Source organism: Homo sapiens, chromosome 8 (assembly GCF_000001405.40).
Source record: "Homo sapiens chromosome 8, GRCh38.p14 Primary Assembly".
Taxonomy (NCBI): Eukaryota; Metazoa; Chordata; class Mammalia; order Primates; family Hominidae; genus Homo; species Homo sapiens.
Window position 1 is genome coordinate 6,027,778 of NC_000008.11, and position 21,956 is coordinate 6,049,733.

At 44.1% G+C, this 21,956-nt stretch overlaps 1 long non-coding RNA gene across 2 annotated transcripts; it reads right to left on the minus strand.

Moving 5' to 3' along the window:
* Window positions 1-4,879: 4,879 nt before the first annotated feature.
* LOC105377796 (uncharacterized) lies at window positions 4,880-16,833 on the minus strand. Of its 2 annotated transcripts, none has more exons than NR_188123.1 (4): window positions 16,391-16,833; window positions 9,073-9,126; window positions 8,606-8,691; window positions 4,880-6,052 (listed from the first exon to the last, which is right to left on the minus strand). It is a non-coding gene; the product is annotated as an uncharacterized LOC105377796 (long non-coding RNA). The 2 variants fall into 2 exon arrangements; NR_188122.1 differs by having other exon boundaries at window positions 9,073-9,197.
* Window positions 16,834-21,956: the final 5,123 nt, after the last annotated feature.

The following is a 21,956-nucleotide window of genomic DNA, read 5'->3' on the forward strand; positions in this document are numbered from 1 at the left end:
ATATAATGATTCCATGTCATCAGAATGGAAGTTGTTTTCATAGCCTCTCCAGAACTGTAATTTTGACAGTACTGAGGAATCATGGCATTAATTTGTAAAGAATTTGCTGTGACAGTTTGGTTCTTTCACTGTCTTCTCTATATCATTTTAAGCAAAGACACAGGTTTTTTTGAAGATATTTGCCCCTTGTATGCCCCCTTTTTTATTTTAATCATTTTCCATACTTTTCTTTCTTACCTTTGTAAGAAACCAAAATTACCCTTGGGAAGACAAAACTCATATTGCAACTTTAAGAGGTGTAAAAAAAGCTGGGTCATCGTGGGAGTTGTGAGACTGTTTGGCTCCAAACCGGGTGCTAAAACAATTCCAAAGCACTTGGGTTCTGCGTCTTTGTGAAGATCATCAGGGCACTCTTGCGTGCTAATTTAATTCTAACGGTTGTATGTCCAGGTCTCTGTGAACCACGCAGTTCTTTCAGTTAAACAGAATGAAAATTGGAGCTGAATATCGAGTCAAGGAGTGTGAAACTAGTGAGCCACGATGGTCCTAGAAAAAGCCAAGAATATAACATTTGAAAGCACAAAGGCACATAGGAGGACATCCAGTGAGTAAGGCTACAAATGCCCTTTTGCGCCAAAGGAAAAATAAAACTGACCATTAAAAGAGTTATTGCAAGGTCTTGAGCTTGTCTAAATCGTTTCTCCCTTAACTGAAAAATAGTCGATTAGAGGCAGGAAGCAAGCAAGTTGCTAGTAGCAGAGCAGGAAATGAAACCTAAATTCTCCCATCTTGATGATGTATGACACCTTTATAAGATTTCAATGCTAAAATGCTAATGCAGTCAATATATTGGCTACTTCTTATATTTGTTTCTTGTGACAAATTACTGCAAATGTAGAAACTTAAAACAGTAGAAATATATTCTCTCATAGTTCTGGAGGCGAAAAGTCTTAAATCAGCATTACTGAGCCAAAATCATGGTCTCAGCAGAGCCACACACCCATTGGAGGTTCTAGGGGAGAACCTATGCTTTGTTTCTTCCAGCTTTTAGTGACGGCCACGTTCTTCAGCTTGTGGCCACATCATTCCCACGTTCCAGTTCAGCAGCACCTTTAAATCTGTTTCATATTCACATCAGCTATGTGTCTGTGAAATCTCCTTCTGCCTCTCTCTCTTATAAGGACACTTCTGAAGGCATTTGGGGCCCACCTGGATAATTTCCCATCTCATGATCCTTAACTTAATCACATCTACAAAGATGCTTTTTTCCAAATAACATAATATTAGCAAGTTGCAGGTATTGGGAATTCATAGATTTCATGTGGGGAACAAAGACATTATTCTACTAATCATATGAATTATGTTTAGCCGTATGTAAAAAAAAAAAAAAAAACAAGTCTACTGGACATTGATCTGTCAACTTTTTCTCTTGGCATAATATGACAAATCTAAAATTACATAAAATGTATAAAGACAACCATAGAAAATAGTTATTGTTTTTGCCTGTCCAACATCCACCCTTTTTTATGCAACAGCAAAAGGCAATTATATAAAGCAGCCTTCCAGCTTTGTATTGTCTGGCACAATAAAATATGTGCCGTGCCAGTCTCCAGCCTTTGTAGGGCTACAGCCTTTGCAGCAGAGACTTGGCATCTGCTGATGAGCCTCGTATGTGCCTATAAAAAGTGTGAGATGGTCATGGTCCCCTGCTCTGAGAATTGTGCGCCTGCGCTTTAAGCCGGGGTTTAGAAAGAAAAAACAAAAGCCACACCTGTTGATTTCTCCTGTAATTGCATTTTTTAAAACTCTAAATATGAGTGATACTTCTACTCTGGTCAGCATGCAAGCATGGCAATACTCAGGTTGCCTTAATGGGGTCTCAGACAGAAAATCTATAAGGTGACTTTAAGGGACATTAATTTTATGCTACTTCCCAATCCTGAAAAAATCCATTCCAAAGTGCTTTTACATGAACTAAAAAGATAAAGGCTTATTCCTTTTCCAGTAGCTGCATGAAATGCTGAAGTACTGTATTAATTTTAAAAGAACATAGGTTTGCTTCTTTGAACATGTACTGTATTTCTGTGTCTTCTACTATGAGCTGTTCTTTGTTTGCATGTGCTTTTATACCTCCAGGAAAACTGATCTCAACTTAAATAAGCCAAAATTAGATAATACTGTGGCCCCTCTTTCCCCATCATCATTCACCAGGTAATGTAATGGGCAGTAAATCCTAATGGCACAGGGCCGTATCTCATGTTTGAGTTCCTCCAAAATTCACAGGTAGAAATCCTAAACCCCAAATTGATGGTATTGAGAGGTAGGGCCTTTGGGAGGTAATTGAGTCAGGAAGGCACAGCCATCGTGAATGGGATTATTAATGCCTTTGTGGAAAAGACCCCAGAGAGCACCTTGGCCCCTCCTACCATGTGAGGACACAGCAAGAAGATGCCATCTATCAACCTGGAGGTGATTCTCCCACTAGACACCCAGTCAGGTGGCATCTTGATATCAGATTTCCAGCTCCTAAAACTGTGAGGCATGGCCAGGAGCGGTGGCTCATGCCTATAATCCCAGCACTTTCGGAGACTGAGGGAGGCAGATCACGAGGTCAGGAAATCGAGACCATCCTGGCCAACATGGTGAAACCCCATCTTTACTAAAATACAAAACATTAGTTGGTTGTGGTGGTGCAAGCCTGTAGTCCGAGCCACTTGAGAGGCTGAGGCAGGGGAATCGCTTGAACCCGGAAGCAGAGGTTGCAGTGAGCTGAAATCAGGCCACTGCACTCCAGCCGGGCGACAGAGCGAGACTCCATCTCAAAAAAAAAAAACTGTGAGGCATATTTTTATTGTGTCTAAACTACACAGTCTCAGGCCTTTTGTTGTAGCAGCTTGAAAGAACTAAGACGAACTGGTTTCAAACAGTATGGATTCCATCAACAATCATTTAGTAATTATTAATAAGTTAGCACAGAGGATCGAAGTCAAAGACAAGGTAAGTTCACCTTCTGAAGGTTTATTGAAATTAATTTACTTTAGATTAGATTAGCCATCTGCAGAAATCATTTTACAAGTAACTATGTCTCTGAGGTCAAAAGCAGAAAGAGGAGATCTAGCTATTCAATAAAGGCTTGGCAATGTAAATGAGTGCTTGGTATCTATTGAATCTTGGTATCCTCTTTTATTTTTTCAGAGGAAACACAACACAAATTATTAGGCAATAGCCTAGAGTCTAGAAATGGATCAATAATTTGTCAGGTTCCTTCCAATACCACTGAAGGCAAGGCCATCCCCATTAACCTGCTCAATTAACTCAGCTGTTCATATCCCATACCTGCTGTGGTGGCCAAACAGGGCTCTAGATCACATTCTGCTTCCATATTCTCTTCTAATTCTTCCACTATCTATTTTTCTTCCATGTTTATCAATGTCTAATGAGAAAATACGTCGGTGGGCTGACCTAAGCATTCAGATATAAGAGAAGTTTTAGTTTTATAATGAATTTATTTATTTATTTATTTATTTATTTATTTATTTATTTATTTTGAGATGGAGTCTCACTCTGTCACACAGGCAACCTGCACCTTCCAGGTTCAAGTGATTCTCCTGCCTCAGCCTCTTGAGTAGCTGGGATTACAGGTGTATACCACCATGCCTGGATAATTTTTGTATTTTAGTGGAGACTCGGTTTCACCAGGTTGGCCAGGCTGGTCTTGAACTCCTGACTGCAGGTGATCTGCCCACCTCAGCCTCCGAAAATGCTGACTGAGCCACTGGGCCCAGTCTTATAATGAATTCTAAAATCAGCATTCTAGTTTAAACCACAGTCTCCCATAAGTTTAGGGGGGTCAATCAATCACTGAGTCCTGACAGACATACAACTCAGGTTCAGAAACCTACAAAGTTGAGAGTCATTCCATGGGATATGGTGACCACACCAAGGCTCTGCCATCCTTGAAGCCTCACCCAAGAGATCAGCTTTTCCCAGACATCTATTCATCTCTAATCATTGATATTGCCGTGCACTCATTCGAGGAATGTGTATTAAGTGCCTACTGGGTGTCAGGCGCTGTGTTAGAAAGCGCAGCAGCAAAAATGGTTTGCATGATCCTTGCTCTCAAGAAGTTTGCGGTCTATGAACAGTAAGGATACTAATACCTTAAGCAAAAAATATGAACTAGAACCTAAAGAACTGAGTAGGAGTTAGCTATGAAAGTAAATATGAAGGTTTTCCAGGTAGAGAAAAGAGCAGAAATAAAGACTGTGATGTGGAAAAGAGCCGGATGCATGTAGAGAGAAGAAAGAAGTCTGGAGCTTAGTGAGAGGAGAGGAGAGTAGCAAGAGGCCCAGAGACAGTGGGAGAGGCAGGTAGAGGCCATGCCGTGCTGGGCACAACTAGCAGGTCATGTCAGAAATTCTCTACTTTGTTCTAGGTTCAACTGAACACTTTGAAAGGACTTAATCCTTGTAAATCATGTCAGGATATTGTTTGATTGGGACCCGTGATGACCAGCTCCTATCCCATCTACCTACTATTGTTCTGCATTTCTAGCAGATAAACAGAAAATAAAGACAAGGAGGAGGCTATCTCTCTCTCTTGTTCTCAACAAGCAAAGGTTGTCATAAATGGCAGTGCAGTCCCTGTGAACCATATTCAGCCAGCAGTTGAACTGAATGTAAACTTTTTGACTGAATTAGGTGTCCTTAAATAAGCCACCACTCTCCAAGTTGCCCACAGGCTCCAACACTCCCTACTGCCTTGTAGATCACCTGCTGCGGTCCTTCATTTTACCCGCCTTGCTTCCAAAGCCTTTTGAGTTTGCAATCTGTCTTAGTCTGTTTTGTGCTGCTATAACAGAACAGCAGAGACTGGGTAATTTATAATGAACAGAAATTTATTGGCTTACAGTTCTGGAGGCTGGGAAATCCAAGATCAAGAGGCTGGCATCTGGCGAGGGCCTTCTTCCCACATCATAACATGATGAAAGGCAGAAGGGCAAGAGTGTGTGTGTGAGAGAGCAGTGGAAGGGGGCCATACTCATCCTGTTATCAGGAGCCTGCTCTCACAGTAACTCACTCACTCCCATCATGATGGCATCAACCTCATCAGGCCCCACCTCCCAACACTGTTGTCTTAACGATTAAGCTTTCAACACTTGCTTCTTGGAAGAAACACTTAAATTATAGCACAATCTATATTCACATTGTCAGGCTATATGATGTATTCACCTAATTTCACTGAAAGAACCCATGCTGAACAAGGACACAAGAAGAAGTAATTATTAACCTTCCGTGGATCCCAGCATCTTTTGAAAACATGATGAAAATGTTTGAATCTCTCCCCCAGGAGATCATGTGCATGTGTGCAGACACACACACACGCATACACACAAATTTCGGTGACACATTTTTACATAACCTCCGAAAACCATTTAAGAAACCCATTTAAGAAGCACCAGAAACTGGCAACTGAAGCTAGCTGAAAACGAGCATTGAGGCAAGGAGCGGTAGGTGCCATAACATGTTGGTGAATGACAGAGTTTGGATTTGTGTCCTTGACCAAATCTCATGTCAAATTTTAATCCCCAGTGTTGGGGGAGGGACCTGGTGGTAAGTGATTTGATCATGGGGGTAGAATTCCTCCTGGCTGTTCTCATGATCGTGAGTGAGTTCTCACAAGACTTGGCCGTTCAAAAGCATGTGGTGCCTTACCCTTCGCTCTCTCCCTCCTTCTCCAGCCATGGAAGATGTGCTTGTTTCCACTTCACCTTCTGCCATGATTGAAAATTTCCTCAGGCCTCCCCAGCCAGGCTTCCTGTACAGCCTGCACAGCTGTGAGTCAATTACACCTCTTTTCTTTATAAATTACCCAGGCTTGGGTAGTTCTTTATAGCAATGTGAGAACAAACTAATATAGGGAACTTTCTCCATGGATGAGATGAGGGAGAGGCTGTGTCCAGGACCTCCAGCCACGGGTACCATGGCCTTTCTTAAGACCACCTCTTCTTTTATACATGGCCTAACATTTCCCAGAACTCACTTTGAAAACTCTATAAAGAAAGAGAACAGGTACACAATTTGTTATTAGTCCTCATAAAGACCATCAAGAAAGCCTACATACGCTCTAAGTATTTACATTGGCTCTCTAGTCTGAAACACTCAGATTTTATATGTTACTAAATGATGATGGAAAGCTTTTCCAGGTAGAAGAAAAAGCAGCAACAAATCTGAGGATACACCTATTGTTGCTGCTTTTTGCAACCTGCCTTTGGCCCACTTTCAGCCAAGATGGGATTATTGAGGGTTTAATCTTCTCATATTTATTTTCTTTTTCTCATATGTCATTTTATTACCTTTAGCTCTCACTTCTTTTAGAAACAAAATTTAGGCTGGGCGCAGTGGCTCACACCTGTAATCCCAGCACTTTGGGAGGCTGGGGCGGGCAGATCACGAGGTCAGGAGATCGAGACCATCCTGGCTAACACAGTGAAACCCCGTCTCTGCTAAAAATACAAAAAATTCTCCAGGTGTGGTGGCAGGCATCTGTAGTCCCAGCTACTCGGGAGGCTGAGGCAGGAGAATGGAGTGAACCCGGGAGGCAGAGCTTGCAGTGAGCTGAGATCGTGCCACTGCACTCCAGCCTGGGCAACAGAGCGAGACTCCGTCTCAAAAAAAGAAACAAAATTTAAAGAACTTCTGCAGTTTTTCAACAAGTCGTGTAAATGAATTTGTAGTTTTCACAATGCTGCTGAAAATGCGGAAGTGTGTCAAGTGTTAGCTCTTCTGAAATGTTACAACCATAAGTACCAGGATTCCCTATTGAAAATCACCCTTCTGAGAGTCTCAGTGCAACTTGGGCAAAAGACTTTAAATAAGATGTATATAATTCTATGCAAATCACAAAATCCATCCAAAGTAAAATTGTCATCCAACTCAGAACGCTGAAAGAGACACACACGTGTCTGCATGCATGCTTGAATTGGACAGCTATGCAGGCATGATCGACTCCACACTGTCTGAGCAATCTGGAACTTAAATGTCTCTATCTCATTATCACATTTTAAGTCATGATGCTGACAGTTGATGAGACTTTATGCAAAACACGGCTCTATAATAGGACACAGCCTCCATCTAACATACTTCTAGCAGGAAATAACAAGCAAAGAAACCAACCCTAGAAAGCCCACCCAAAATGCTCCTTACAAAGGTAGACATTTCTTTTCCATGACTATTGGGATTTTTTATGGGCAGAAAAATATTGAAACAGACCATCTGTCACTGGAGACTCCACCAGAGAAATACATTTTCAGCAAAATGGTAAGTTTTCAGATATGATTTCAAAGCAGCTTGGCATGAGGCATTGCAGCCAGACGCCTCTTGCAGAGCAGACGGTGGAGTAGAGGACAAAAAGGATATGTCAGCAAGGACTTTGCCGAGGAAAGACTGATGCGCTGCCACCAAGATACAGGACTTAGCATAAATTTAATATGGAAAGCTGGAGAAGCCAGCAACCGTATTTTAAAAGCAGCATTTCAAGGCAAAATAATTAGGAAAGAAGGGGACACATAGCAAAGATGGAGGAAAGCATGAAGCAGCAAAGAAAATGGAGAAGAGAGAGCTGAGGGAGAGAGGCACCAGAGGGCCAATACTCACCTAGGGTTTTCAAACCCTTCATTATTGCAAAGCAAAATAGTTTAGGAATTACCCACATGGTTTGCTACATACTGTACGTACACTTATGCAGGTATTACCTCCCCTGTTCAAGGAAATGGCTGTGTTTATTGAGAGAATAAAACAATCCTGGATAATGCAGAAGGCTCAGCAAGAGAAAGCAACTAAAGCTGATATGCAGAATACAGGCGAGTGGGTTTAAAAATTACTCTACACTGATTTTAGGAGATAAATAATAGTCCTGAAGTTTTTATATATATAGGTCTGGGGATGATGGCTCATGCCTGTAATCCCAACATTTTGGGAGGCTGAAGTGGGAGGGTCTCTTATACCCAGGTGTTCAAGACCAGCCTGGGTAACATAGTGAGACTTCATCCCTTAAAAAATAAAAATAAAAATGTTCATGGTGGTGCACACTTGTAGTCCCAGCTACTTGGGAGGCTAACATCAGAGCTAACTTGAGCCCATGAGTTTGAGGCTGCAGTGAGCTATGATTGTGCCACTACATTCCAGCCTGGGCAACAGAGCAAGACAATGTCTCAAAAAAAAAAAAAAAAAAAAAAAGAGACAGAAGCATTAAGGATGAAATATAAAACCGTTCATAGGCAGCATCAGACCTTTATTTTTGACAGTTAAATTTTATTTTGCCCAATGGTTAAAAAAATCTCATCCTGTGAGTGCATGGGGGTGACAGGATAGACAGCAACCATGCCTTTGAAGTTGTCTATCTCCTGTGAGAAATCCGCCCGCCCAATGCTCACCTGCAGCAGTGGCTGAGAGCAAGGTGACAGGAGCCTAAGCAGTAAAGGGACCCAGCCTGCACAGCCCCCACCCGGAGCACCTGTCCCTGACCACTGGGCAGGGCAGAGCCAGCCTGCGGATCCTACTCTGCCCATCCCGAGGTCTAGGTTGGCTCCACTCACCCAACTCACCCCAAGCACAGAAGGCAGGACTGTGGGCGCTGCTCCAGAGGCTCTTCCCGTTCCCGGTGGAATTCTGTGACCCAGTGACCGTTCAGCTGGAAGGGAAGATAGGACAAACGAAACCCTGCGTTATGAGCACAGAGTAGGTTTCTCTTCTATTCAATCATCCACACAGACACTTGAGCATTTTTTTATATTATAGTCATGAAATACCAATTACATCATACACTGTAAAGAGACAGTGACCATGGACAGCCCTTGCATGTTAAGTGATGATGTGCGGGTGTCACAGAGCCTCCAGCAGCAGCGCCTGGGTCAGAATCCCGCTCTCCTCTTCTCACAATGCCTGGTGAAACATTCCACCCAGAGGGAGCCCAGGCCACTACAAACGGCAGAACTGCATTAGTGGCAGAAAGACAAATGCTTCATTTATATTACTGTCTCAGAGAGAGAGAAGCTACTTTAAATCAACAGACCTTACATCCGAAGTTTATCTTGACTCCTCAAGGATGGCTTCCTTCACTCTCCAGCTTTAGGAAAACAATAAAAACAATTCCTTTTCAAATAAAAAGTAAAGAGACCTCCTTCCCAAGGTGAAAAGCTAAAAAGAAAAGAGAATGAGAGTTTTGTCACTTAAAACACATTCTAATGGTCAGTGATGTATTTTTCAAACATTACCAGAAAATTAAGCGTGAAACCTTACATTGCCATTAAATCACAGCAGAGGATTACATTATTGACACTACCCGGACAGTACATAGCCACAAAATAGCAGTGGGATAAGAAAAGAGAAATTGTCGCCTCGTTGCTTCCCATTGGATGGTTTGTTCAAACTTTCTTCTCCTTCCACAGAGACCTATTCCCCTTCTCCAAAGAGTTTTTTGTCCTATTTCCAAAAGTTCAAAAAATTAAGAGGATTCTCAAAATAAGAGTTCTTTAAGAAATGTTTTTGGGCCACGCACAGTGGCTCATGCCTGTAATCCCAGCACTTTGAGAGGCCAAGGCGGGTGTATCATTTGAGGTCATTAGTTCGAGACAAGCCTGGCCAACACGTTGAAACCCCATCTCCAGTAGAAATACAAAAATTAGCCAGGCGTGATGGCTTGTGCCTGTAATCCCAGCTACTCAGGAGGCTAAAGCACGAGAATTGCTTGAGCCTGGGAGGTAGATGGTGCAGTGAGCTGAAATTGCACCACTGCCCTCCAGCCTGGATGACAGAGTGACACTCTGTCCCAAAAAAAAAAAAAAAAGAATTGTTTTTAAACAAAAAAAACTAATAGGATACTCGTAAGAGTTCTTTAAGCATTGTTTTTAAAAACAAGAGAAGAGTTCATTTTCTTAAGTTTTCTGATACATTTTATAACACATCTTTAATTTCTCATGGCAGTGGTTTAATCCCATCTTCTTCACTCCATGGTTAACCCTTGGAAACCAATGAGAAATGTTCTCCGCATGAATCAAATTTGATCCTTTGAAATAGCAACCACAGCACTGGGGCTTGAGGACTCAGGTCATCAGTTGGGGGGATGTATTTCGTTCTCATTAGGGCCCAGAAGGGATTCAATTAAAAAGGCAGACTCTGGCCAGAGACAGGAGGCTACCATGCAAGCTCATCTCCCACAGAGTCCCATCCTCGCTTCCTTGCTGCTACTCCTCATAGCAGCTCAGCAGGAAACAATGGCAAATTCGAACTCCTATAAAATGAGAGAAGTGTAGAAGAAATTCTGTTTGCAAGGGTGGGGCAGCTGGAGAGTTTTTCTTTCCCATCCCTGGGCCTCAAGGGAAGTGAGAGGGAAGCACACAGACGTGTGCAGCTCACTGATGCTGTAGTAGGGCATTCTCACATTGCTATAAAAAAATATCTGAGACCAGGTCATTTATTTTAAAAAACACGTTTAACTTGCTCACAGTTTTGCAGGCTGTACAAGAAGTATAGTGCTGACATCTGCTTGGCTTCTGGGGACGACTCAGGAAAGTTACAATCATGACAGAAGGTGAAGAGGGAACAGGCACCTCACATGACAAAGGCAGAACAAGAGAGACAGGAGGGAGGTGCCCCATAATTTCAAACGACCAGATCTCGCAAGAACTCACTATCTCAAGGACAGCACCATTCAGTAGAAATACACCCCCGTGATCCAATCACCTCCCACCAGGCTCCACCTCCAACACTGAAGGTTACAGTTCCGCATGAGGTTTGGGCAAGGACACAGACCGGAACCATATCAGATGCCACCCCCAGGGAGTGTGGGAGGAGGGAACACAAGCTCCCTCATCTCACTGTTGCTCCCCTTCTAATTACCTCCTTATTGCTCCTGTAAGAATTTACCAAAATAATTAACGGCTTAAAAAAACACAAATGTCTGTGTTAGTGGCAGAAGGACAAATGTTTCCATTATATTACTGTCTTATATAGAGAGAAGCTACTTGAAATCAACAGGAATTACATCCAAAGTTTGTCTTCACTCCTCAAGGATGGCTTCCTTCACTCTCCAGGTCTAGGAAAACAACAGAAACAATTCTATTTCAAATAAAAAATGAAGCAACTTCCTTCCCAAGGTGAAAAGCTAAAAAGAAAAGAGAACAATATAGTTTTGCCACTTAAAACATGTTCCAGTGGTCTGTGATGTATTTTTCAAACTCTCTTAAAGTTCTGAAGGTCAGAAGCCCAAAATGAGTCTTATGGAGCTAAAATTAGGATGTCACTGGAGCTAGTTCCTCCTGAAGACCTCAGAGAAGAATCTGCATCTTGCTGCTTCCAGCTTCTAGACGTGGCCAGGTCCTCTGGACTCATGGCTGCATCACCCCAATCTCTGCCTCAATCACATCTCCTTCTCTGGCTTTGATCCTCCTGCCTCTGTCTGATAAGGCCACTGGTGATGACATTGGGTCAATCTGGACCAACCAAGACAATCATCCCATCTCAAGCCCCTTAGCCTGATCACTTTTGCAAAATCTTGTGTGCCTATAAGGTCATTATTTGTAGGTTCCAGGGATTAGGACATGGGCGCCACTGAGGGCGTGAGCACTGTTGAGCCTACCCTTCTCTGCTCTCCCGCAGGTACTTCCTATCACCTGAACCCAATCAAGGCCAGAGGGCAAAGGCACCTCTTGATGCAGTCAACAGAGGTCAACCCCCCAGGGCACAATGCACAGTGAAGAAGTGGCAGACATGACTCCATAAGGCACACAGAGGTCACCAGCATGTCTTATATACTCCAGTGTCTTCAGACCTGAAGCTTAAAACTTGTCTGTCTGCTTGTAAATGCAACTTAGCAGACTCAGTACCAGTTAAAGGCAAGCTCCCTCATCAACTGATATGGTTTGGCTGTGTCCCCACCCAAATCTCATCTTGAACTGTAGTTTCCATAATCCCAATGTGCTGTGGGAGGGACCTGGTGGGAGGTAATCGAATCATGGGGGCGGTTATCTCCATGCTGTTCTCATGATAGGGAATGAGTTCTTATGAGTTCTGATGGGTTTATAAGGAGCTTTTCCCCCTTTTGTTTGGCACTACTCCTTGCTGCTGCCACGTGAAGAAGGATGTGACTGGTTCCCCTTCTGCCATGACTGTAAGTTTCCTGAGGCCTCCCCAGCCACGCTGAATCGTAATTCAATGAAACCTCTTTCCTTTATAAATTACCAAGCCTCGGTATGTCTTTATTAGCAGCATGAGAATGGACTAATACACCATGCCCTCAGACTCTTGACCCATCAGAAGTCAACATCCTCAAATCATGAAGTTAGAAAGAAAAGGAGGCTGTGTATTTTGCAATGTAGACCCACATCAAGTGGTTTTCAATTCACTTCTGCTTCAGAGGAAAGAGCAACAAAATTATTTTTGCACACATTTCAAATATATGAAATGCTACATTAATTATAGTTTTTACAGAAATCTCATTGTCATCTTCAGAATCATTACTTTCCTAAAGGTAACATGTGTACTCAGTTGGAATCAGCTAAATTTTTGTTGACAACTTGCAACTCTTCTTGTAAATGAGTGTTGCAGTTTACATTGAAGTCGACATTTGATGTTTAGTACTATATTGTGCATTATCCCTGAATTAAAAAAATAATAATAAATGAATGGTTCAAAGTGTATTCATTGAAATATAGCACAGAACTAGTGATGAGAATAGTAAGCTGAAATGAAAAATTCAAAATTATATATACATTGATATACTGGCCTGTGGAGGTTGACATAGCAAGATACCACAGACTGGGTGGCTTAGGAAAAACAAACTTACTTTCTCATAGTCTTAGAGGCTGCAGGTCCAAAATCAAAGTACCGTCAGGGTTTCCAGTGAGGCCCCTGTATGAGTCTGTTCTCACACCACTAATAAAGACATATCCAAGACTGGGTAATATATAAAGGAAAGAGGTTTAATTGACTCACAGTTCCACATGGCTAGTGAGGCCTCACAATCATGGTGTAAGGCAAAGGAGGAGGAGTAGTCACATGTTACATGGTGGCAGGCAAGAGAGCATGTGCAGGAGAACTGCCCTCCATAAAACCATCAGATCTCATGAGACCCATTCACTGTCATGAGAACAGCAGTATTGGCGTAACTGCCCCCATGATTCAACTACCTCCCACCAGGTCCCACCACCACACGTGGGGACCATGGGAACCACAATTCAAGACAAGATTTGGGTGGGGACAGAGCCAAACCACATCAGTCCCTGTCCTTGGCTTGTAGACAGCTGCCTTCTCTGTGTCCTCACATGGCCTTTCCTGTGTGCTTATATGAAAGAGCGAAAGAGATAGTGATGTCTGTTTATTTTCTTATAAGGACACCAGTCCTATCTGATTAGGGCCCCACATCCGTGACCCCATTAGCTCGAATTACCTCCTTAAAGGTTCTATCTCCAAATAAAATCACATTGGGGATTAGGGCTACAACATATAAATTTGGGGGGGACACAGCCTATAACAATTGTGAGCAGGACTTTCATGGAAGCATATACTTTGAAATTACATGTGTTGGGACAATTCATCCAAAAGTGTGATTTCTTCCACACAGTTGAAAAAGAAAGAAAGATTAAAAAAAAATCCAATAGCAATTATTTGAAAATTGGACTTTAATGGACCAATGTTCCATGTGCTCCTGCGTCCCAGTGGATTGAAAGTTGTGAGATTTTTCTAAAGAGCAGCATAAAGCCATCAAGGCCCTCACATCATTTTCAAAGAAAGTATAGTCATCTCCCTGATAAACCAGGTTTATTTTTCAGGAAGAAAAAGTGCAAAATAATGTTCTCCATCGAAAACTAGTTTTTCGTCTAAAAAAGGCAGAGAAGAAACCAAAATCTAAATACATTTACAGGATTTAAAAGGTACTGTCTAGCGGGAAGAAGTAACCATTTAGAAATCCAGTCTTCTCTATCAAGCACCTATTGTGTTCCAGGCACTGGAAACACAGCTGTGGACGCAATGCAGCCCCAAGTTTGGGGATCTTATTTTCTAGTGGGAAAACATAGTAAACAAGCCAACAAAGTCACTACTGATTGCAATGAATGATGGGGAGCAATTAAACAGGGTGATGGGAATGAGAGTGACCAAGGGGCACCACTTTAGAAAAAGCCTCTCTGGAGGGGTGACATTTGAGGACAGATCTAAAGATGCAAAAGAGCCAGGCATGCAAACAGAACTAAGGAGAGATGAGTGCAAACACACAGGGATGAGCAGGTCCCAGGATGGCTAGTCCAGAAAGGCCAGTGTGGCTGGGGACCCGAGGTGAGGGCTGATCTGGGAAGAGCTTTTCTTTTCTCACTGGAGCAAATGTAATGACATATTATGGAGCATCTTTAGAAGTCACATTCCAACACTATAATCGAACATGGAAAAAGAATACTTTTAGGCCCAAATGCAGCTCAGACATGAATTAGGGATTCACTCCCTGCAACCTTGAAAGCTCAAACATTCAGTGTGCCTCTGAGAGCAATAGATACTCATCGATTTAGTGTCTCAAGTGTCTGAACGTTTTCTTGAGTAAGAAAATGCTCTATAATTTCCGGGGCCATATTTGATAAAATATCCAAAACTGTATTACAGAGCCACCAAACAATTGCTCTCATTCCTGACAACCTATAATTGAGAGTAAAGATTTTTCATTCGATAGAAAGAAAAGAGCCTGGACACTTGCGGAATCTCACCTAGCACTCCAACTTTGCACCTGTGAGCCTGGTAACAGATACTGCAGGGAGAAACTGCAATCATGATCACCCTTTCAATAATAACTTGTTTAAAATAATAAGAAGAAATAAAAACAACTTGTTCAAAATATTATTTTATTTTTGTTACTTAAAAATGGTGGTGATTCTTTCTTGTGAACTTACAGACCTGATAGTTTGGGAAACACCATTCTAAATCTAAGCATGATTTTCAATTAATTAGAAAATACCCTCTTTATTTTTTCCCATCTCATATATGCTAATTGGAGTATCTTCAAGTTATGAGAAATTATGTTTCATATCACACCTTTATCACTTGTCAAAGATCAAACAGCGTTAATGAAGTGAACGATGCCACATTTTTGTAAGGAAACTGATACACTCTATGGTGTCTTAGAGGTGTTTGGTCCAAAAATAAAAGGTCAGAGAAAAAAGAAAAGGCCCTTGAAGAAGAGATTTGATGAGTGTTGAATACAGGTACCACCTTTCAAACCAAACACTTTCACACTTGCAAAAAGTTTCGAAACACACACAGTAGCTACTTGTGCTAACATAAACAGAGTAGCATCTTTTGAAATTTCTGATAAAACACAAACAGAGATGGAGGGATAAGAAGAGAACAATGGCTGTTCACCTACAAATAAAACTAAAGTCAAGACAGACAATGTATAAAGGGCACATTTGCTTTAAGGACTCAAGAGTGTCCCAGAGAACCCAGTGGAAGAGATTCAGCCATGACACAGGAATGCACAGGAACCAGCAGGACTGCTATGTACAGTTGTGGAGATTGTGCACTGCACAAGTGTACCTGGCCAAGGAAGCAACTGGAGCCCAGAAAGTCGTTGGGGAACGACTAAAAACCCACCTACAATCCTTTCTCCAAACCATGCACTCCTGCACGCAGCTATGTTCACTTAAGTTAGCGGATCTCACAGGGAGCAATTTTGCCTTCCAGGAGGCACTTGGCAATACCTGAACACATTTTTGATTGTCACAATTTGATATACATTCTACTGGCACCTAGTGAGTAATGGCCAGGAATGCTACTATAAACATTCTACACAGGACAGCCCACCAAAGCAGAATTATCTGGCCCAAATGTCCACAGTGCTGAGGTGGAGAATCTCCAACTTAAAGATGACATTTTCTAATTCATATCAAGATGCAGCCCAGTGGGAAAGCCATGGACCCATAGGGATGCAGCTGTCCAGTGGGAAAAACTTGTTCTGATTCACACAAAGAGCCTTGTGGGAACCAGGAACTCTAAATCCACTGTCTGGTATCTCAGCCCTGTCTCCTCTGTTTCTCTCTCTCCCTCCCTCTTTCTCTCTCTCCCCCTTTCCCTCCCTTCCTCTCCCTTACCCTCTCCTTCTCTCTTTTTCACTCCCTCTCCCCCTTCTTATCTCTGTCTCTCTCTGTCTCATTCTCTTTCCCTTTCTCTAACTCTCTGTGTCTGCCTTCCCTGACATATCCAGAAATAGGCAGGCATTCATCCCTGATTTGAGAAGATGGAGCCACATTTTACACATGACTCTAGTGACCCTTTCCTCTCTTCCCACTGTGAAAGGTAGAACAGGCTTCAGAGGTCACTTGAGCTGAGCAAAGGAGCCAACATGTACCCACCGGAACACCCTTCATTCCTCGTCCTTCTGTGTCCGGAATTGGTGGGTTCTTGGTCTCACTGACTTCAACAATGAAGCTGCAGACCTTCACGGTGAGTGTTACAGCTCTTAAGATGGCACGTCTGGAGTTTCTTCCTTCTGATGTTCGGATGTGTTAGGAGTTTCTTTCTTCTGGTGGGTTCGTGGTCTCGCTTGCTCAGCAGTGAAGGTGCAGACCTTCGTGGTGAGTATTACAGCTCTTAAGGCGGCGCATCTGGAGTTGTTCGTTCCTCCCGGTGGGTTCGTGGTCTCGCTGGCTTCAGGAGTGAAGCTGCAGACCTTCACGGTGAGTGTTACAGCTCATAAAGGTAGTGTGGACCCTAAGAGTGAGCAGCAGCAAGATTTATTGCAAAGAGCAAAAGAACAAAGCTTCCACATTGTGGAAGGGGACCCGAGCGGGTTGCCACTGCTGGCTTGGGCGGCCTGCTTTTATTCTCTTATCTGGCCCCACCCACATCCTGCTGATTGGTAGAGCTGAGTGGTCTGTTTTGACAGGGCACTGATTGGTGCGTTTACAATCCCTGAGCTAGACACAAAGGTTCTCCAGGTCCCCACCCGATTAGCTAGATACAGAGTGTGGACACAAAGGTTCTCCAAGTCCCCACCCTAGTAGCTAGATACAGAGTGTCCATTGGTGCATTCACAAACCCTGAGCTAGACACAGGATGCTGATTGGTGTGTTTACAAACCTTGAGCTAGATACTGAGTGCCGATTGGTCTATTTACAATCCCTTAGCTAGAAATAAAGGTTCTCCAAGTCCCCACCAGACTTAGGAGCCCAGCTGGCTTCACCCAGTGGATCCCACACGGAGGCTGCAGGTGGAGCTGCCTGCCAGTCCTGCCCCATGCGCCCGCACTCCTCAGCCCTTGGGCGGTTGATGTGACTGGGCGCCCTGGAGCAGGTGGTGGCACTCTCAGGGGAGGCTGGGGCCGCACAGGAGCCCACAGAGGCTGGGGGAGGCTCAGGCATGGCGGGCTGCAGGTCCCGAGCCCTGCCCCGCGTGAAGGCAGCTAAGGCCCGGGGAGGAATTGAGCACAGCAGCTGCTGGCCCAGGTGCTAAGTCCCTCACCGCCTGGGGCCGGTGGGGCCAGCCGGCTGCTCCAAGTGCTGGGTCCGCGGAGCCCACGCCCACCCGGAACTCGCACGGGCCCGCAAGCACCGGGTGCAACCCCTGTTCCCGCCCGCGCCTCTCCCTCCACACCTCCCCACAAGCTGAGGGGGCCAGCTCTGGCCTTGGCCAGCCCAGAAAGGGGCTCCCACAGTGCAGCGGCGGGCTGAAGGGCTCCCCAAGTGCCGCCAAAGTGGGAGCCGAGGCAGAGGAAGCGCCTAGAGCGAGCGAGGGCTGTGAGGGCTGCCAGCACGCTGTCACGTCTCACTTCCACTTATGGAAAAGTTGCTGATCCCCAGTTACATGTTGAGCACTCTGCTGGGGAAGGAGAATCAAAACATGATCCCCACACTCTAGACATGGGAACCTTTGAAGGGACGCTGACATGTAGCCAAATACAGGCACATCATATGGTTGCTGTGATGCTCTTTGTCATAGTCTGAGCAGAGAAAAAGAAGCAGAGAGAAAAGAGAGAAAGAACAAGCTGTAACTGTTTGTTGATAAACAGAATAATCTCTGGAAGGAGACATAACTGATCATTTCCACTGAAAAGACACACATAGTAATATTGAGTGGGCGTAATATCATTTTTCATCTTTTTATGTTGGGAACATAAAACTGGATTAAACTCAGAATCAAGTGTCATAGGACAAAAAGCAATGTTCACATCAAGTTCTTATCTGTATATTGCAACATCTTTGAAATTCTAAAGAAAAATATACTGAGAAAAGTATAAGCAGGAAACATCACACTCTAAGACAAATAAAGTATGCATAATTGTGATTAATTTCAGTTACACTAAAGAGAAAGCACTCAGAGGTACTTAGGCATCGCCATTTCTTTATCATCTGTTTCAAATAAAAGTTTGGCTTTATGTTTATATATAAATGCAAATTATCCATATTTAATGATAGATCTTTACTCTATATGGACATATTATAGAACATCAAGAGTGTTCTAAATATTGCCTATTCATTATGTTTCCTTATACACAATCACCTAACAGCAGCATTGGGAATGACAAGTATGAAGCCTGGAGGGAGAAAAAAAAAAAACATCCGCCCATACTCAGCCACCTGGTGCTCCAGACTGGGTTTCCAGAAAGCCCACTCTGAGCCTATTGATGTGCAGTGTGTTTATTAAGGAGGAAGAGAAGAAAGGAGGCAGAAGTGGGCACAGCAGAAGTTGAACTGGGAGGCAGACCCCAAAAAGCCTTGTTAACTACTGGGAGCTCAGCCCTTGGATGGGCACTGCAGAGCCATCCAGAGTAGGGCCAGAAGCTGGGGGCTCACCCTCCTGCATCCATCAGCCAGGGGCCATCTGAGAGGGCAGAACTGGGGTCAGGTGCCTCTCTGCAGCTGCAGTGACCTCTGAAGGGGCTGAGAGCAGGAGACTGTGCACGGCTGCCCCCAAAACTGCGGCAAGGAGGCCTTTACTGAAGGGATTATTGCAGCGTGCAACACACCTGCCACACCTGGCAATGGACCAACATGCAAACCTGACACCTTTAAAGGACTGAAATCACTGACTGGTGTAATGATGGTGCTTTCATATCCATGTCCTTGTTCATTCAACCAGCATTTATTAAGTATCGACTAAGTGCTGGGTACTGTGTTAGGCACAGTTGTCCATGAGGGAGACTGATTCGGTGGCCATCTTGTCCATACCCTCCTACTGTTTTAGTTCTGGCCACTATCCCCGAAAACTTCAGTGGCTTAAACAACAAATAGTTATTTCTTAAGATTCAGAAGACTGGAAAGTCCTAGATCAGGGTGCTGGCAGATCTGACAGCCACCTTCCCACTGTATCCTTGTGTGGCAGAGAGGGAGGCATGATCTCCTAGCTCCTCTTATAAGGGCACTAATCCCACTCATGAGAGCTGCACCCTCCTGACCTACTCATCTCCCAAAGGCCCCACCTTTTACTACCTCTCCATTGAGGGTTAGAATTTCAACAGATGAAATTTGGGGGGGACGTAAACATACAGTCCATAATACCCGCCCACCTGACCCATACCCAAAGAAATGCCAGTGCTTTCTGCTTAAAATACTCCAGTAGCATGGTTCATATTAAAGCTTAATCAAGATCAAAATATCCAGCTATAAAATTAAAAACTAAATAAGAGTCAGAAGAGGAAATAACAGGGAAAAAGGAATGAAAAAAGTTACTCCTTCACAGGAAAAGATGGTAGAGTGAGGTAAATTGAATGAACAAGACCTTTGCCTTCTGTCATATCTGGGTCCAAATTTCAACTTGTCTATATATAAGCAATGTCACCTAAACTTCTCTTGAGTTTTTCGTTGTGAAATGAATGCCTGCATTGTGTGAGTTTTGGCAGGATTACATAAGATCTGTGCAGAGGAGGGAGACTGGGTCCTGAGCAGTCATGGGGCCACAGTGACCACAGCATCTTCCTCGGATTCATCACCAGCTTCTCCAGCACCATTACCAAAGCACCACTGCAATAGGCCAGGCAGCAGATGCCCTCCTGCAGGTGACATGCAGATGGTAAGTCCGTGTGAGTTACAGCATGTGTTTAGTGACACTGCTTATCGAGGTCCCACAACTATGTTTCTGCTCCATAAAAGATCCTTCTCACTTCCAACATAACCTGAAATTTACTATTATCAAAAAAATGACTGGCTGGGTTTGGGGGCTCACGCATCTAATCCCAGCACTTTGGGAGGCCAAGGTGGGTGGATTACCTGAGGTCAGGAGTTGGAGATCAGCCTGACCAACATGGTGAAACCCCGTCTCTAGTAAAAATACAAAAATTAGCTGGACATGGTGGCAGGCACCTCTAATGCCAGCTACTTGGGAGGCTGAGGCAGGAGAATGGCTTGAACCCGGGAGGCAGAGGTTGCAGTGAGCCAAGATCACGCCATTGCACTCGAGCCTGGGTGACGAGAGCGCAACTCCGTCTAAAAAAAAAAAAAAAAACGACTTGAGGCAGAAGCCACGTCCACCACTGAATCATGAGCAGAAAACCAAGGCAGCAGGGTGAAGCACAGCACCCCTTGCAGAGCGACCCACTGCAGAAACACAGGTCAAACATGGACGGAATTGAGGCCTCCTCGATAAGAAGCATCTAGCACTGTGGCCTTACAGAGTGTATTCAAAGGAGGTGAACCCTCCTTTGAAATCGACTGAGAAAAACACTTGCTTAAAATCCCAACATTGCGATATAGCAACTGCTTGGAAGTTTCTGCCAACTCTATTAAGTGCCTTGAAAACAAGAAGCAGAAGCAGCACAGAGCAGCACAGAAAACAGAAATAAGCCCAGCAGGTTTCAAGGAGGAAGGTAGTATCCTTCCCCATAGATGCCCTTAGTCAACGGCATTGATGTGGAGAGGCTGAATGCAGAGGGAGATACCAGCTTCCCGGCGCGTGGTCATCAGGCTGCTGTGTGCGTGTGGGAGAATGTGTATGTGATTGTTACTCTAAATCCACTTCCCACAGCACAGTTTCAGTCATTTGCTTATATTCCTTATCTCTATGAATATCCAAATTCTTTAAAACCCTCCAGAGTTTTCCAGGGTGAAGTCTAAGCCAAGGACTACAGTTGTGTGTCTTTGTGCTGAGAAGCCAGATAAGAAGAAGCTTGTACCCACTACAGGGATGCTGCCTTCTTTTCGACACCGTTAAAATATTATGTCCCATTTGTCTTCCCAGTCACCACATGGGGAGGCCTCATCATCCCTTCCCACAAGAAGACAAGGTGATGGGGAGGTGGAGCAGCAGCTAAAGGTCCCCAGCTGTGCCGAGCCCGGGTGGCCTCCACCGCTGCCTGGCTCAAAGCCTATTCCCTCCTCATTTTCCCCACCTCTTTGGCTGTGATTTCCTGCTAAGAAAACGTATTCCATGAAAAGTTCTGGTTCATTCAGTGAACCTCTTCACACGGCTCCTGAGAAGCGCGACTGATCATCTCTCCCACGCCAGCAGACTTCCTGTTCCCTGCCTCTCACTGCTGATAGGATGCGCTAAGAATGAGACCCCATGAACTATTTTTTTTTTTTTTTTTTGAGAGGGAGTCTCACTCTGTCTCCCAGGCTGGAGTGAAGTGACATGATCTCAGCTTACTGCAACTTCTGCCTCCTGGGTTCAAGCGATTCTCCTGCCTCAGCTTCCCCAGTAGCTGGGATTATAGGTACCCACCATCATGCCTGGCTAATTTTTGTATTTTTAGTAGAGATAGGGTTTCACTATGTTGGCCAGGCTGGTCTTGAACTCCTGACCTGGAGTGATCTGCCTGCCTCAGCCTTCCAAAGTGCTGGGATTACAGGCATGAGCTACTGCGCCCAGCCCCCATGAACTCTCCACGCCAAAATCCTGGGCCTCAGACAGAATCAGGGGCTTTACAGGACAAAGCCTAGTTATCCATCTGATAAATGATGTTGCAGCCACAAACAACACACGATT